The 16,133-nt window shown below is 46.2% G+C and overlaps 1 protein-coding gene across 2 annotated transcripts; it reads left to right on the forward strand.

Moving 5' to 3' along the window:
* Nucleotides 604–3,748, forward strand: ZCCHC12 (zinc finger CCHC-type containing 12). Of its 2 annotated transcripts, NM_173798.4 has the most exons (4): nt 604–785; nt 1,119–1,170; nt 1,369–1,493; nt 1,911–3,748. In NM_173798.4, the coding sequence occupies exon 4, from the start codon at nt 2,025–2,027 to the stop codon at nt 3,231–3,233; it is 1,209 nt and encodes a 402-aa protein (NP_776159.1). In that variant the 5' UTR covers nt 604–785; nt 1,119–1,170; nt 1,369–1,493; nt 1,911–2,024; the 3' UTR covers nt 3,234–3,748. The 2 variants fall into 2 exon arrangements, with proteins under 2 accessions (NP_776159.1, NP_001299820.1); NM_001312891.2 differs by lacking the exon at nt 1,119–1,170.

Raw genomic sequence — 16,133 nt, forward strand, 5'->3', positions numbered from 1 at the left:
TGGGATTTCAGGCGTGAGCCACCATTCCCGGCCAGAAGACTGCATTTCTAACAAGCTCCCCCAAATGACTCTGATGTCTTGCCCCCATACTTGAATGGGTATTGGTTGAGAGCCTTGTTCTCCAGCTCTCCTCTCTGTTAAATGGACATACTGCTACTTCTTTCACAGTAAAAGAGGAGATGTGTGTGAAAGCCTGTTTCCGCAATGCACGTGCTAATGCTCTTCCCGCCCCTTCCCCTCTTCCCCGTCTTTTCCCTATACCAAGGTGAAGAACTTTTATTATTCACTTGATTTTGGACCCACTTCGTGTTTAATGCACCTGGCCTAAGATGCAGAGTTGAGCCCAGGGAGAAGGGACGGGTTGGGGGAGGAAGAAAGAGTCGCAAATTCCCAGGCAGATTGGCTCCATCGGTCTAATCAAGCTGCACTTGACGCTCCGCGGGCCTGCTGCGCCCCCGCCCCCTCAGGCGAAAACTCGCCTCTGCCCAAGGCTGTGCGGGGCGTCCGCCCCCGCACTTCGCTGATTGGCCGCACTAGCCCGCTCGTCACGCTCTTTTGTCTCAGCTGGCAGAGGATAAAAGCCGCCGCGGCTGCCTTAGGAACGGCGCTGCCTCGTCTCTGCTACCCCTGGTTGGGCGGCCCTGCGAAGCAGCTCCTTCGGGCAGCCCCGGGTCGCTTAGCGGCCAAGGAGGCTTCAGTTCTTTGCCGCCTGCAAGGCGGAGACCAGAAGGCGGAATCCACAGCTGGCGACGCGGGAGCATCTGCTGTCCACCAGCGGAGCACAGGTAAAGAATGGGGGTGTGATTGCCCGGCGGGGAGAGGGGTGGGGGAAGACCCACCAGTACTGGGCGGCTCCCAGCTTGGAGAATCGGTGACTGTGAGGCAGGGGTAGGAGTACTCTCGTGGCCCGGCTGCGCTGAGGGAGGAGGTGGGGTTCACCTGGATACTGCGGGCTAGGTAGGATTTGCCTGGATTTGGGGGTGGGAGGAGAGGCGAGGAGTAGCGGGGGGAGGAATCTCGAGCTGTTTGCTTCGAACATCCTTTGCATCTCCTCATCTCTTTCTGGGAGGAATATGTGGGTGGGTGTGTCCAACTCCTATTCCCTTTCTCCGTGGCAGGCCATCAAAGCCGCATCTGAACTTGAATTCTGTGCAGCTGATTGCAGAGCTGGTAGGCCGACGGCTTCCCGGGGGAAATGTAATGCTGGAGGGTGGGGGGCTGGTCTCTGGCTTATAGTCAGGAGGGGGCAGAGAGAATTTTTCGCCTGGCAACAGCGGAGGTGGTGGGTAGCAGGATGACGGGTGAAGCTGCTTCTAACCCTTCCCTTCTCTGGCCTTCTCCGCTGTGGCGCAATCTTGAAACCTCAAGGACCCGGATCTGCGACCCCCTGTGGACAGAGGTTGACCGTACCCCGGAGAGGAGCTTTCTCACGGAGGGCACTGGTTGCAGAGGCTGGAAGTGAAATAAAGACGCGCTCTTGTTTCAGAGTTCGTGTAAGAATCTGAGAAATAACAAGGGGGACGGGCGTGGGGGGCACTTTGAGAAGGGGGTGTGGTTGAGACCAGAGACCATGAGGTTAATGAGATCTTATTTTATTTCCACAAATCTGCGATCATTGTACTCTATTTGGAGAGCCCAATATCAGCTCCAGACACTGCTACACCTAGAATTTGAAGCAACAGTTACCGTCCCTCTTGGAGGACTGGTGGGAGGGATGGATGTGGCTGCAAAAAGCACCTTGCTAGCACGCAGGCATCGGGTAGCTCTGGGAGGTTGTAAGTGTCAATCTCCTACAGGATTATTTTTAGGGTAGTGGGCAAATATAAAATGTACTGCAGGATATTCAGGTAGGAAGAGAATGCAGCTGCAGCCCGCTCCCTTATTAACCAGCCCCCCTTTCTTTTTTACAGCCCCTGCTGAGATAGGAAGGCAGAGCCACCTCCTCTCCTCTCCCACCTGCAGATTAAGCTTTTCTAAAAAGCCTAGGCATCTTCTTATATTCAGATACCCTATCGTCGTCAGTCATGGCTAGCATCATTGCACGTGTCGGTAACAGCCGGCGGCTGAATGCACCCTTGCCGCCTTGGGCCCATTCCATGCTGAGGTCCCTGGGGAGAAGTCTCGGTCCTATAATGGCCAGCATGGCAGACAGAAACATGAAGTTGTTCTCGGGGAGGGTGGTGCCAGCCCAAGGGGAAGAAACCTTTGAAAACTGGCTGACCCAAGTCAATGGCGTCCTGCCAGATTGGAATATGTCTGAGGAGGAAAAGCTCAAGCGCTTGATGAAAACCCTTAGGGGCCCTGCCCGCGAGGTCATGCGTGTGCTTCAGGCGACCAACCCTAACCTAAGTGTGGCAGATTTCTTGCGAGCCATGAAATTGGTGTTTGGGGAGTCTGAAAGCAGTGTGACTGCCCATGGTAAATTTTTTAACACCCTACAAGCTCAAGGGGAGAAAGCCTCCCTTTATGTGATCCGTTTAGAGGTGCAGCTCCAGAACGCTATTCAGGCAGGCATTATAGCTGAGAAAGATGCAAACCGGACTCGCTTGCAGCAGCTCCTTTTAGGCGGTGAGCTGAGTAGGGACCTCCGACTCAGACTTAAGGATTTTCTCAGGATGTATGCAAATGAGCAGGAGCGGCTTCCCAACTTTCTGGAGTTAATCAGAATGGTAAGGGAGGAAGAGGATTGGGATGATGCTTTTATTAAACGGAAGCGTCCAAAAAGGTCTGAGTCAATGGTGGAGAGGGCAGTCAGCCCTGTGGCATTTCAGGGCTCCCCACCGATAGTGATCGGCAGTGCTGACTGCAATGTGATAGAGATAGATGATACCCTCGACGACTCCGATGAGGATGTGATCCTGGTGGAGTCTCAGGACCCTCCACTTCCATCCTGGGGTGCCCCTCCCCTCAGAGACAGGGCCAGACCTCAGGATGAAGTGCTGGTCATTGATTCCCCCCACAATTCCAGGGCTCAGTTTCCTTCCACCAGTGGTGGTTCTGGCTATAAGAATAACGGTCCTGGGGAGATGCGTAGAGCCAGGAAGCGAAAACACACAATCCGCTGTTCGTATTGTGGTGAGGAAGGCCACTCAAAAGAAACCTGTGACAACGAGAGTGACAAGGCCCAGGTTTTTGAGAATTTGATCATCACTCTCCAGGAGCTGACCCATACTGAGATGGAGAGGTCAAGAGTGGCCCCTGGCGAATACAATGACTTCTCTGAGCCACTGTAAGGGACCACCCCCAGGTTTCAGTGAACCCTTACCTATATTCAGCATCCAGTAGTGGGAAAACTGGGGTGGGGGTGGGGGTGGGACTTCTAACTGCATGAATTAATCCACAAAGCGGCTATCTTTTGGGGTGGAGTAGAAAGGGTCTTGGATACCAGCACATTGGAGGGAGATAGCCTGACCTCTGTCCTTGCTCCTTCTCCCTGCAGCCTACGGGTCTGTTTTCTGTGTGTGCCCATTTCCTTGACAGCTTTATTCTTTGTGAAAGTGGTATAATTTATTGTTAAATATTTGAACAATAAAAAAGGTACAAAAAGTGAAGTACAAATTACCCAAATCTCTCCACCCTTATATAATCATTGTCAACCCTTTGATGAGTGATATTTCCCTATACCTATGTACCCAGATAGATATATGCATAGATAAAAGTGATGAAATATAAGTGCTGTTCTATCTGTATTTTTTCACCAAACAATATATGTTGTGAGCTTCTATGTCAATAAATATATATATCAGCATCTGCCTTAATGTGTCTGTGCTGTTAGGAAGAATTTTTAAAAAAGAAAATATAGTAAAAAACTGTAAAGGGGGGTTGTACTCTGAGGTGGGATTTTTAACCGCATTTTGCAAATGAAAAAAAATAAATGGGCTGAGATACTTCCCAAAGGTAAAAGGACAGAGCCCCCTTACCACAACTAACCTGTCCCTTCGCTCAGAGAGCCAAATTGTGACACCCACTTGTTGACAAAACACCAGTGCTTTCTTCTCTGATATACCCAGGAGACTGATGGGGGATGGGGGAGTCCGGTGCTGAGGTAATAGCCCAATATGGGGATTCCAGGGGCTCCATTTCTGTTCACTTTGGGGATGGGCAGTTCTTCATCTGGGCAGATTCCTTAGATTGTTGTTGCTGTTGCTGCCTCTGGACAACGTCCTGGTCACAACAAGGAATCTCTCCTGTGGGCTGACACCACCTTCTGCCCCCTCCCCAGTTAAGGAAAAGAGAGAGCAGCCACTCATGGGAGCTCAGCATTAGCAGGCTCAACTCCTGACGGCGCCAGAGCCTCCCCTATAAACTCTGAAGCTATGCGCTGGAGGCCACCGGCAGCCCACGGACTCCAAGTTAGCTTGGGAGACACGAAAAGCAATATATTTGCTGGAGCACGTGAAGGAACATGGGAATCGGAAAGCCAGGAAGCCCTGCACTCTATGTGAGCAGAGCCAAGGGCATCCATAGGAGAGGGAGAGAAAAGAGGGACCACCTCCTCATCTCATCCTGGAGGGCGATAGAAGAGGACTCGCGTGTGACCTCAGGCCCCAAAGGTCCCTATGTTTCTTGTAGGTGCCTAGGTCCCTATTTTTGCGAGCAGGACAAGGCTGGGGAATGGGGTGGAGGTGGTTGCACTTAAGGCAGAGGTCGAGTGTGAAATGAATATGCAGATTTGGGACCCTCAGGGAGTCTGCCCTGCCGGAAATAGGGGCTCCACGGAGCTGAGAGGATAGAGTATGAAGCAGTGAGTGCTGGTGTGTCGAGGAGAAGCACAGGGCTCGATGGGCGGGAGAGAGGAGAGAGTGCTGTGACCAGTCAATTCACAACTTCATTGACTGGGACAGGGAGCCTCGGAGATATCATAGACCCTAGGGTTTCAAACTCGTCTCTGGGCTGTGTTGTACCAGAAATGGCTCCGGTTGAAGGTCCCATGGAGGGGTATTGGGGTTCTGATTATGTTGGCAGTTGATGGTCCACTCCGTGGGGACAAAGGGGGTTCAGTCTGAGGCCCCAAGGAAGGAGTGGTAGCCAGGCACTACAAGAAGTGTTCCCTGGGCTGCCATGCCAAGAATCTGGCGTGAAGTGCTTCTCTTTCTAGAAACAGGCTCTCAGCTACTCCCTGGCTTATTGCCCCTGCTCCACTCATGACCCCACCATTTGACCTTATAACCACCAGCCCACTGCCCTCCTGGAGCCACGTACAGCTGCTGGTGGAGGGTGTGGAGCTCAGTCTCCTGGGCTCTGCCCAGTCTCCCTTCCCTCCTCCCCACAGCATTCAACATTTACCTTAAGCCTCAGCCTCCTTTACCCTCCTGGCCAAAAGGAGACTGGGAGGGCCCTTCTGCCTCTAACTCTTTTTATTTGAGACAGAGTCTTGCTCTGTCTCCCAGGCTGGAGTGCTGTGGCACGATATCGGCTCATCACAACCTCCACCTCCCAGGTTCAAGCGATTCTTCTGCCTCAGCCTCCCAACTAGCTGGTATTATAGGCAAACGCCATTGTGCCTGGCTAATTTTTGTAGTTTTAGTAGAGACGGGGTTTCACCGTGTTGGCCAGGCTGGTCTTGAACTCCTAACCTCAGGTGATCCACCCGCCTCAGCCTCCCAAAGAGTTGGGATTACAGGTGTGAGCCACCGTGCCAGGCCTCAGCTTCTGACCTTTTAGCTTAAGAAAAACTGGGTCAGGAGCAAAGACTCAAGAGGGCCACTCCTTGCATCCTTCTGGGGCATCTCTGGGCCCCTGGCAGCAATCTCAGTCTCTCCAGAGCCAAGAGGGACCACTTGTGCACCCCCAGACAGGTGGCAGCTCCACTCAGGCCCCCAAAGCCAAAGAGGCCCCCAACATTCTCCAGCTTGCATAGAGTTTAACCCTTAATTCCTCCCTAAATCTACTCCTGGGTGATATCTACCCTTCTCATCTAGTACAGATTCGAATATTGTTCCATTTCCTGTTCACGTTTTTTGGTTTTACTCTATAAACACTTGTTGAGTGATTTGTCCAAAGACACAGATTATGCTGCTATTTCTTTCTATTACCAGGGGGAGTAGAAAAATGAATAAATCCTATCCATACCACTACTTCCCTTTCACTGGAGTGAGCTTGGATGTTCAGTATAGACCACTGCTTTCACTGCTTTGAAAACCTATTTTGTGACTCATTCCCTTTCATCCTCGCCCCCTCCCCTTTTTTTTTAAACTCTGACACTGGCTTTTAGTTTATTCAAGAAATATGCATTCTTCCTAATTGGATACCTGGGCATTCAGATCAGATGAATAGAGTTACCTAAAAGGCTTTTAGAGAATTTTGTGTCGGATAGCCTTCATTTAAAGATATGGGCTTATTTTCTTCCTTTCTGCCTTCATTCTCATTGGTCGCTAAGAGATGAGAAATTGCTATTTCATCTTGTCAGAAGAAACCAGTCTCTGAGTGCCCTTTTACACAATCTCCCCGCTTCCTGGCATCTTGTCCCTCCGTTTCCATGACATCCCCCCTCACAGTTCCCGCTTCCTGACCTTTTGATGCCCACTTCTCGGTCTCCTTTGCTGAATCTTCTTCTTCTTCTTCCTGATCCTTCCATAATAATGATACAATAAACATCATTAAAATTTTTATTTTTTTTGAGACACAGTCTCGCTCTGTTGCCCACGCTGGAGTGCAGTGGTGCAATCACAGCTCACTGCAGCCTTGACCTTCCCGGCTCAAGCAATTCTCCCATCTCCCAAATAACTGGGACCACAGGTGCATGCTACCATGCCCGGCTAATTTTTTAATTTTCAGTAGAGACAGGGTTTTGCCATGTTTCCCAAGCTAGAAAATTGCTATTTTTAAGAGCTTATTGTGTGCCAAACATCCTGTATCAGGCTCTTTGAAGGCGTTGGTTCCTTGAATCCTCATCTTAACCCCATATGGTATTGCCATTTTTACATATTTTAGATGAGGAAATAAACTGGAACATTAAGCAGCTCACCTAGGGTCGGGCAGCTAGTTAGTGGTAGAGCCAAAGGTCACATTCCTGGGGACTGGCTCCAAAGCATATAATTCTTTTTTTTTCTTTTCTTTTTCTTTTTCTTTCTTTCTTTTTTTTTTTTTTTTTGAGATGGGGTCTCACTCTGTCGCTCAGGCTGGAGTGCAATGGTGCAATCTCGGCTCACTGCAAGCTCCGACTCCTGGGTTCACACCATTCTCCTGCCTCAGCCTCCCGAGCAGCTGGGACTACAGGCACCCGCCACCATGCCTGGCTAATTTTATTTTATTTATTTTATTTTTTGTATTTTTAGTAGAGACGAGTTTTCACCATGTTAGCCAGGATGGTCTCGATCTCCTGACCTCGTGATCCGTTCGCCTCAGCCTCCCAAAGTGCTGGGATTACAGGCGTGAGCCACCGCACCTGGCCCAAAGCCTATGCTTCTTACATGTCTCCCATGTTCACAGCACCCTATCATGTAGGTGTTATTATCTGCATGTGACACGAAACAAAATTGAGGTTTGTAAAAATTCAGGATAATAAGGCCTGCCTTTCCAGGTGTGCCCTTTATATGAGTGATTAACATAGGGTTGGTCCATTGTAGACTCCCACAGACTCTCAAGAAATGGCAGCTACTGGACATCTGCTGAAATGCATTACTCTGCTACTGAAGGAAGGGCAGGAAAAGTTAAATGCTGTCCATGCCATGCATACAGTGCTTATTCAGTGTTAATCTGATGATATGACAGTCTGGTTTCAGGAGCTACACTGAGCTTGGCCCCTGACAGGAGTCCTTTACAATTCAGGTGACCCTGAAATCCTGCCACTGCCAGAGTTCTCAGGGGCAGGATAAAAGGAGGCAGCGAGACTAGCTCTGGGTCTTGAGTTATCATCCTGGCAGGAAATATGTATGGATCCTTAGCTGCAGCAGCTCATTGCAGACCAGAGCTGACAACTTAGGTTGGCCTCACACACATTCTTCTTCCAGATATGTAACATGTTCATCATCTCCATTTTACAGACTAGGACATTGAGGCACACATAGTTATTGTCACTTGCCTAAGATTACACAGATAGTAAGGGTTGGGGCTGGAATTGAACTTCAGATCTGCCTCTCCCCAGAGCCAGAAGTCTTTACAGTTATACTATAAAGTCCTTCCTAATGGGTACAATATATCTGATCATTCTATCGGTTGCATCCTGGGAACCAATTTCTAATTGCCATACTCACGACCAAAAGCCTGCACAGTAACATAGCCTTGGTCTCATTTCTTTTATTAAACAAGACGGAAAAAAAAAGATCAGTTTAGGAAAGCTCCTTCTTAGAGCCTGTAACTATCTTCTCTTCATATTTATTTTTATATACAATTTCTGGGATAAGATACTAAAAATAACAAACTGTTGATGAGGATGTGGACAAGCAGTCTCTCTCCCACACTGCTGGTAGGACTGAGGATTGAGGCATTCTTGCTGGAAGGCTGACCAGGAAATGCATCAAAGGTTGAAATATAAAAATCCCTGGATCCAACAGCTGCTGAAATTGATGCTGAGAACATAGCTGGACAAGTGTAAAAAATTTTTATGAACAAAGATGTTTACCCTAGTTTATTTTGTGTAATAGTGGAAAACTGGAAACAAGTTAAAAGACCATAAGTAAAACTTGGGTGAATAAATTAGGCTTCATACTTGCAAGACAACGCTCTGCATTTCAAGCTCTCGGTGTGCCTTCAGATCATTGAGTCTAATTGGAAAAATTAAATGTGGCCGCTCTAAAAACGGGCTTAAAACCCCAGGCCATCTGTGTTCTCTCTGACCCCCAGTGTGCTGCTCCATCAGTCTGGAACTCTTTTCACCTGGCAAAACCCTTGTCAAACTTCAAGTATCCTCTCATCTGGCACTCCCTCGGGCCAGCTTGCCCTGACCCTGCTAAAGCTCATTCCCCGAATCTTAGGTAGCATTTATCATTGTGTTGTAATTGCTTGTATAACTAGCTGTCTTCCCCACTAGGCTTTTATCCTCCCAAGCCTAGTACAATGTTGTTGGGGCATCTTGACACAGACTTCAGGCACGTTCCCACCTCACCAGTTTGCACTGGTTGTTCTCATTGTTCCTCCAAATAGCCCTGTGCCTTAATCATTCCCCATGTTCCTGTATTTGCTCAAATGCCATCTTCTCATTGAAGCTGACCCTGAACATCCCATTTAAAACAGCACATCTGATCATCAGCACTCCGATTCTCTCTTGCCTGCTCTATTTTTCCATCACATGCCTTTCTTCTAGTATACTACATAATTTACTGAGTTATATTGTACATTGATGTCTCTCCCCACCAGACTCAACGACAGCAGGCATTCTAGTTAACTGCAGCATCACCAGCTCCTGGAACACTCCCTGGAACAGAGCTCATTCTCAGTAAATATTTGTGGCTGGAATGAACAAAGTGCCTGGCACACAGTAGGCCCTCAGTGAATGCCAGCTTTTGTTACTGCCTCCTACCTGGAACAAGTGCTGCCAGAAAGGAGACAGTCAATGAGAGAATAGTGCACATTGCTGAGCCACCACCCACCTAGCCGATGAAATCACAAACCTGGAAGACATTCTATATCCATTGCTTGGTTTTCACTTCCCCAGGGTATCACTTATTAGATGGACCATTCACTCCTAGCATGGCAGAAAGTGGGAAATGGGTTTCTTTGTAGCTTCATCTATGTCACATTATCAAACTTTGGGTTTAAGAGTTTCAAATCCCCAGGCCGGGCATGGTGGTTCACGCCTGTAATCCCAGCACTTTGGGAGGCCCAGGCAGGTGGATCACGAGGTCAGGAGATCGAGACCATCCTGGCTAACACAGTGAAACCCCGTCTCCACTAAAAATACAAAAAATCAGCCAGGCATGGTGGCGGGCAACTGTAGTCCTAGCTACGCAGGAGGCCAAGGCAGGAGAATGGCATGAACCTGGGAGGCAGAGCTTGCAGTGAGACGAAATTGCGCCACTGTACTCCAGCCTGGGCGACAGAGTGAGACTCCGTCTCATTAAAAAAAAAAAAAAAAAAAAAAAAAAAGAGTTTCAAATCCCTAATCATCCCAAGTGCATTTGTTTTGTAATCCCATGGGCATTTGCAAGATGCCCCAACAACATTGTGCTAGTCATAGGGGATATAAGCCTGATAATAACTCATAGGTCCTGAAGCTAAACTGCCCAGATCTGAAGCCCAGTCTCAGCATTTACTAGTTGTGATCCCAGTCAAGGTATTTACCCTCTCTGTGCTTCAGTTGCCTCTCTCTAAAATGGGGACAATAACAGTACCTATCTTAGAGAGTAGTTGTAAGAAATAAGCAAGTTACTATATGTGAAACACATATTACAATGTCTGGAAACAGGCAAGAGCTCTATAAATGTTAACTATCATAAGCCATTAGTATTTAACAAATATGAATGCCTATAGGCACGAGTTTGAGGAATGAAAAAGAGGGAAGTGGAGACATTAAATTTATATTTTTCTTTACCCAACTCATGAAATATGGGGAGATCAGAGACAGGTTAATATAGCTAAAGAGAACCGCGGGGTCAATTCAAGCATTACACTTCCTTTATCAACCCCCATTTCCTGGAAAGTTGCCCAGTCCTTCCTTTTCTGCTCCTATGTAGACTTTTACCATAATACATATAAAACTGTCACAAAGGCCGGGTGCAGTGGCTCACGCCTGTAATCCCAGCACTTTGGGAGGCTGAGGTGGGTGGATCACCTGAGGTCAGGACTTCAAGACCAGCCTGGCCAACATGGTGAAACCTGTCTCTACTAAAAATACAAAAAATTAGCTGGGCGTGGTGGTGGGTGCCTGTAACTCCAGCTACTTGGGAGGCTGAGGCAGGAGAATTGCTTGAACCCAGGAGGTGGAGGTTGCAGTGAGCTGAGATCGTGCCATTGAGCTTCAGCCTGGGCAACAAGAGCGAAACTCCGTCTCAAAAAAAAAAAAAACAAAAAACAAAAACCTGTCACAAACATGTTTGTTTTGTTATTTACTCATGTGTTTAATATCCACAACATTCGTGTTTTACATGTCTTTTCTCTATCCTAGAATCCAGGCTCTTTGAGTGCTGGGGCTGTGTCTTATTTGTCTTTATAAAAGGATTTCTTTGTTAGTGCTTTATTTTTAGAATATGTTCACATGCTTAGAGTAAGGAAAACCACTAAAGAGAGAAAGACAAGGAATTGGCTAAATTCCTTAAAAATATGAAACTACCCAGGTTTGGGGATAGTAACTGACCAGGAGGGCTTTTTTTTTTTTTTGAGACAGTGTCTCGCTCTGGAGCCCAGGATGGAGTGCAGTGGCACGCAATCATGGCTCACTGCAGCCTCGACTTCCCAGGCTCAGGTGATTCTCCCACCTTTGCCTCCTGAGTAGCTGGGACCACGGGCATGTGCCACCACACCCAACTAATCTTTGTATTTTTGGGGTAGAGACAGGGTTTTACCATGTTGCCCTGGCTGGTCTCAAACTCCTGGACTCAAGCGACCTGTCCACCTCGGCCTCCCAAAGTGCTGGGATTAAAAGTGTGAGCCACTGCACCCGGCCCATTTTATCATTTGACTGGGGCTTTGGGAAAGTATGAAGAGGTTAAGAAGGGAAGTTAAGGAAAACCATAGCTAGTAGTCCCAACTTCCTCTATAAATTTTAACACAAGACATCTCCGAGAGACTATGCTTAATTGGGGGAGTAGAATTTGTTGAAGTCTCCTTGCATGTGCCTAACTTCAATTCCTTTTCATGAACATTTTCACCATCTGTTGCAATTTCCCTGCAGTTTACTATTCTCTTTCAAAAAGCAGTACTATACAGAGTATTCCAGATGTCATCAGATCCATATAGTGGGACTACCACCTTCTTCAATCGAACATTGGTCAAATGGAAATAATAGTCTCGATCACATAGTGTTGTAAAAATTAAATGAAAAATTTAAAAAAGAAAATAACTGTCTTGAAAAATATGGGTATATTGGGTACTCTTTGCTATTTTCCTTCTATTAAGGAACAAACAAGAGTGATAATAGGACCGGGCATGCTTGCTCAGGCCTGTAATCCCAGCAGTTTGGGAGGCCAAGGCACACAGATCACTTGAGGTCAGGAGTTTGAGACCAGTCTGGCCAACATGGTGAAACCCTGTCTCTACTAAAAAAAAAAAAAAAAAAAAAAAAAAATTAGTACGACTGTAATCCTAGCTACTTGGGAGGCTGAGGCAGGAGAATCATTTGAACCTGGGAGGCAGAGGTTGCAGTGAGCTGAGATCGTGCCACTGCACTCCAGCCTGAGTGACAGCCTAAGACCCCGTCTCAATAAAAAAAAGATAATAATAAATGATTTTCAATCACTATGTATTGAACATGTCAATAATATAGTAAGAATTCTTAATCCCATTTAAGAGAATATCAATGAGTCTCAGCAAAAGATAGTAACAGGACTAAGGTCATACAGTCAGTAAGTGAATGGTAAGTTGGGCGGCTCCAAAGCCTGTGAACTTTCCATCACATATTTTAAGTAAAAATATTGACATTGCTTAGAAAAACTGTATCATAATGGAAGATTAGTTCTTGGGGCAGGAGAAATAAGCAGATATGAATATTTGACCAATTTCCTATTCATCAAGACAAAGCTGTTTGAAAAACTATAAGTAAAGGAACTTAAATTTTACTAGTTGGAACATGATAGAGGTTTTTTTTTTTTTTCTTTTTTTTTGAGATGGAGTCTTGCTCTGTCACCCAGGCTGGAGTGCAGTGGAGCGATCTGGGCTCACTGCAAGCTCTGCCTTCCGGGTTCACGCCATTCTCCTGCCTTAGCCTCCAGAGTAGCTGGGACTACAGGCACCTACCACGACGCCTGGCTAATTTTTTGTATCTTTAGTAGGGACGGGGTTTCACCGTGTTAGCCGGGATGGTCTCGATCTCCTGACCTTGTGATCCGCCCTCCTTGGCCTCCCGAAGTGCTGGGATTACAGGCGTGAGCCACCGCGTCTGACCAGAGGTTGGTTTTAAATATCCTGGATGGACCAAGATCTAATTTTGGCTCAGGAAAATATAATTTAAGGTAGAATCTTGGGGCTGGTTATGGTGGTTCATGCCTATAATCCCAGCACTTTGGGAGGCTGAGGCAGAAGGATTGCTTGAGCCCAGGAGTTCAAGGCCAGCCTGTGAAATATAGTGAGACACATCTCTACAAAAAACTTAAAAATTAGCCCGGCATGGCGATGTATGCCTGTGATCTCAGCTACTTGTAAGGGCTGAAGCGGGAGAATAGCTTGAGCCCAGGAGGTCAAGGCTACAGTGAGCCGTGATCATGCCACTGCACTTTGGTTTGGGCAACAGAGTGGGACCCTGTCTCAAAAAAAAAAAAAAAGATTCTTGGCCAAGTGCAGTGGCTTATGATTGTAATCTCAACACTTTGGGAGGTCCAGGCAGGAGAATTACATGAGGCCAGGAGTTCGAGGTTGCAGTGAATTGTGATGGTGTCTGAGCCTGGGCAATGAGACTGTCTCTAAAAACAAAACAAAACAAAACAAAAAAACAAAAAACAGAAAAGAAATGTAAATTTTTTCCTTCTCTGTGTGCCAGAATGTTTGTAAAACTATTTCATTTATTAAATTATTTTAGGTTTGTTACAAAAGTTGAATATTTAGAGTGTCACAAAATTATGTAAAATACAGTTAATACTTAAATAATCATAAAAGTATACAGTAAAAGAAAAAATAAATCATAGGTAAACACTGAATATTTTGGGATATTTCTTTTATTTCTTTTTTATTTTTTGAAGACAGGGTCTGGCTCTGTCACCCAGGCTGGAGTGTAGTGGCACCGTCTCAGCTCACTGCAACCTCTGCCTCCTGAGCTCAAGCCATCCTCACAACTCAGCCTCCCAAGTAGCTGGGACTTTAGGCGTGTGCCACCACACCTGGTTAATTTTTGCATTTTTAGTAGAGATGGGGTCTTACCATGTTGCCCAGGCTGATCTTAAACTCCTGGACTCAAGAGATCCTCCCACCTTGGCCTCCCAAGGTGCTGAGATTAGAGGTGTGAGCCACCATGCCCAACCTGGCATATTTCTTTTAAATCTTTTTTCTAACCCTGTGAATGTAGATACATGTATAATTTACTTTATTGGGATTGTACTCTCTAAAAAGGGAGTTTTACATATGAAGTATTTATAAAATTGTTTTTGTTCTTTTTCTAATGACAAATGTGATAATTTTGAGAGCAAAATTAAAGATTATTTGTCAAAAAAGAGGAGTAAAGGGGTAAAGCCTGAGCAAATATAAAAACATACTAATAAAAAAACTATAATAAACACTGTGTTGTTACTGGCTGACAAATATCCATCATAAATTGTAATAAATATGACTCTTTTCCTAGAAAAAGCAAGAGAATTGATGGAAACACAGCTGAAAATAAAACAATGAGGGACAATAACATAAAACTGAATGACTTAGGAGAAGAAAATGATACTACTCTTTTGAGTGCACCTGTTAGAAGATTTGAATGAATGGAGAAAACTCAAGCTTAGCTGGAGGGTGGTAGGCCTGGTGGCTGGGGTAAAGAGGAAGATATCACCATAAAATCATCCAGGCCCCAGCCACATCATAGGCCAACCTCACCATTACAATGCAGGGACCCCCTGCTCCAATAGGCTTGCCAGTATGTGAAGTAGTTCACTGGGAATGAAACAAGTGTGAGGCCCGGCTTGGTGGCTCAAGCCTGTAATCCCAGCACTTTGGGAGGCCGAGGCGGGTGGATCACTTGAGGTCACGAGTTCAAGACCAGCCTGGACAACATGGTGAGACCTCGTCTCTACTAAAAAATACAAAAAGTAGCCGGGTGTGGCACGTGTCTGTAATCCCAGGTACTCAGGAGGCTGAGGCAGGAGAATCACTTGAACATGGGAGGCGGAGGTTGCAGTTAGCCAAGATCATGCCGCTGCACTCCAGCCTGGGTGACAGCGAGACTCCATTTCAAAAAAAAGAAAAATCGTGCAAATGCTTGGCTAATTATTCCAACACCATTAATTGAATAAGTGGGAGGATCACTTGAGGCCAGTAGTTGGAGAGCAACCTGGGCAACATAGCAAGACCCCATCTTTAAAACAATAAAAAATCAAATGCTCGCTCCCCATATATCACCAATGCACCTGATGATATGACGAAGTGCATTTATTGCTTCCCTCACTACGGGAGAACACCACTTCGTGAAGCTTTAGCGGTGCTTCAGACAGGAAAAGAAAGATCAGAATTTATTGAGAAATGAAAAATGGGCTTAAGGCGGTGAGTCTTTCAATGCTGGGATTTGATTGGGATTGGGTAAGAACCACGAGATACCAACATTCTAGGATTGGTGTAAGCAGCAAGAGGAGGATTTTAATGAGAGGCATTCAAAAAATTTTAGAGTGCAAACTGTTGGTGCTGTCCATTGACGAGTTGATGGGCCTTTGCAGAAGATCCTGTAATGCAGAAACTATTCGCCTGCAGAGAACGTCCTGGAAAAGTAATGCGAATGAAGACAGTGGATTAGCAAAGTCCTTTTTATGTAGATGCTACAGTGGGGTTTTTGATTCTCAGTGTCCAGGCCGAGTTTGGGGATAGATGGTTTTAATTCCCATATACATACATTTTTAATGGACAATTCACCTTAGGCACGTGTTTATTTTATGGTGTCAAAATCCTTTCATTTCTCGAAGGTGTTTACTGAGACCTGAGTTAGTTGCTAAACTAGCTGGTTTAAAGCTAAACAAGTAGCTTAAACCTGTCTGCTAAAACCTTCAGGTGGATTATTTCATTTGCTCCTCACAAACACCTGTGAATCCTCACAAACACTTCACCATTATTGTCCCTATTTTATAGAAGAGGAGAATGAGACTCAGAAGTAATAATTAGCTCACAATCTCGGGGCTACAAATACATGTTTTCAGGAGCATCAGCAAAACCCTCTTAATCAAACAAACAAACATAAACTCCAAAACCCTGCCTTATTCTTCTGTTTTTGCACAAGGAGCTGGAATCCAGGTTCAAGATAATTATCTGGCCATTCTGTCTTCTTAGAGGTCCTTTTCCCTTTCGGGGGAAGGGAGGAAAGGGTGGAAGCGGCTTCCACCCACTCCAGTTCGGGCTTGGGTCAGCTCCCTGGGCTT

The sequence above is a fragment of the Homo sapiens genome, chromosome X, assembly GCF_000001405.40.
Source record: "Homo sapiens chromosome X, GRCh38.p14 Primary Assembly".
NCBI lineage: Eukaryota > Metazoa > Chordata > Mammalia > Primates > Hominidae > Homo > Homo sapiens.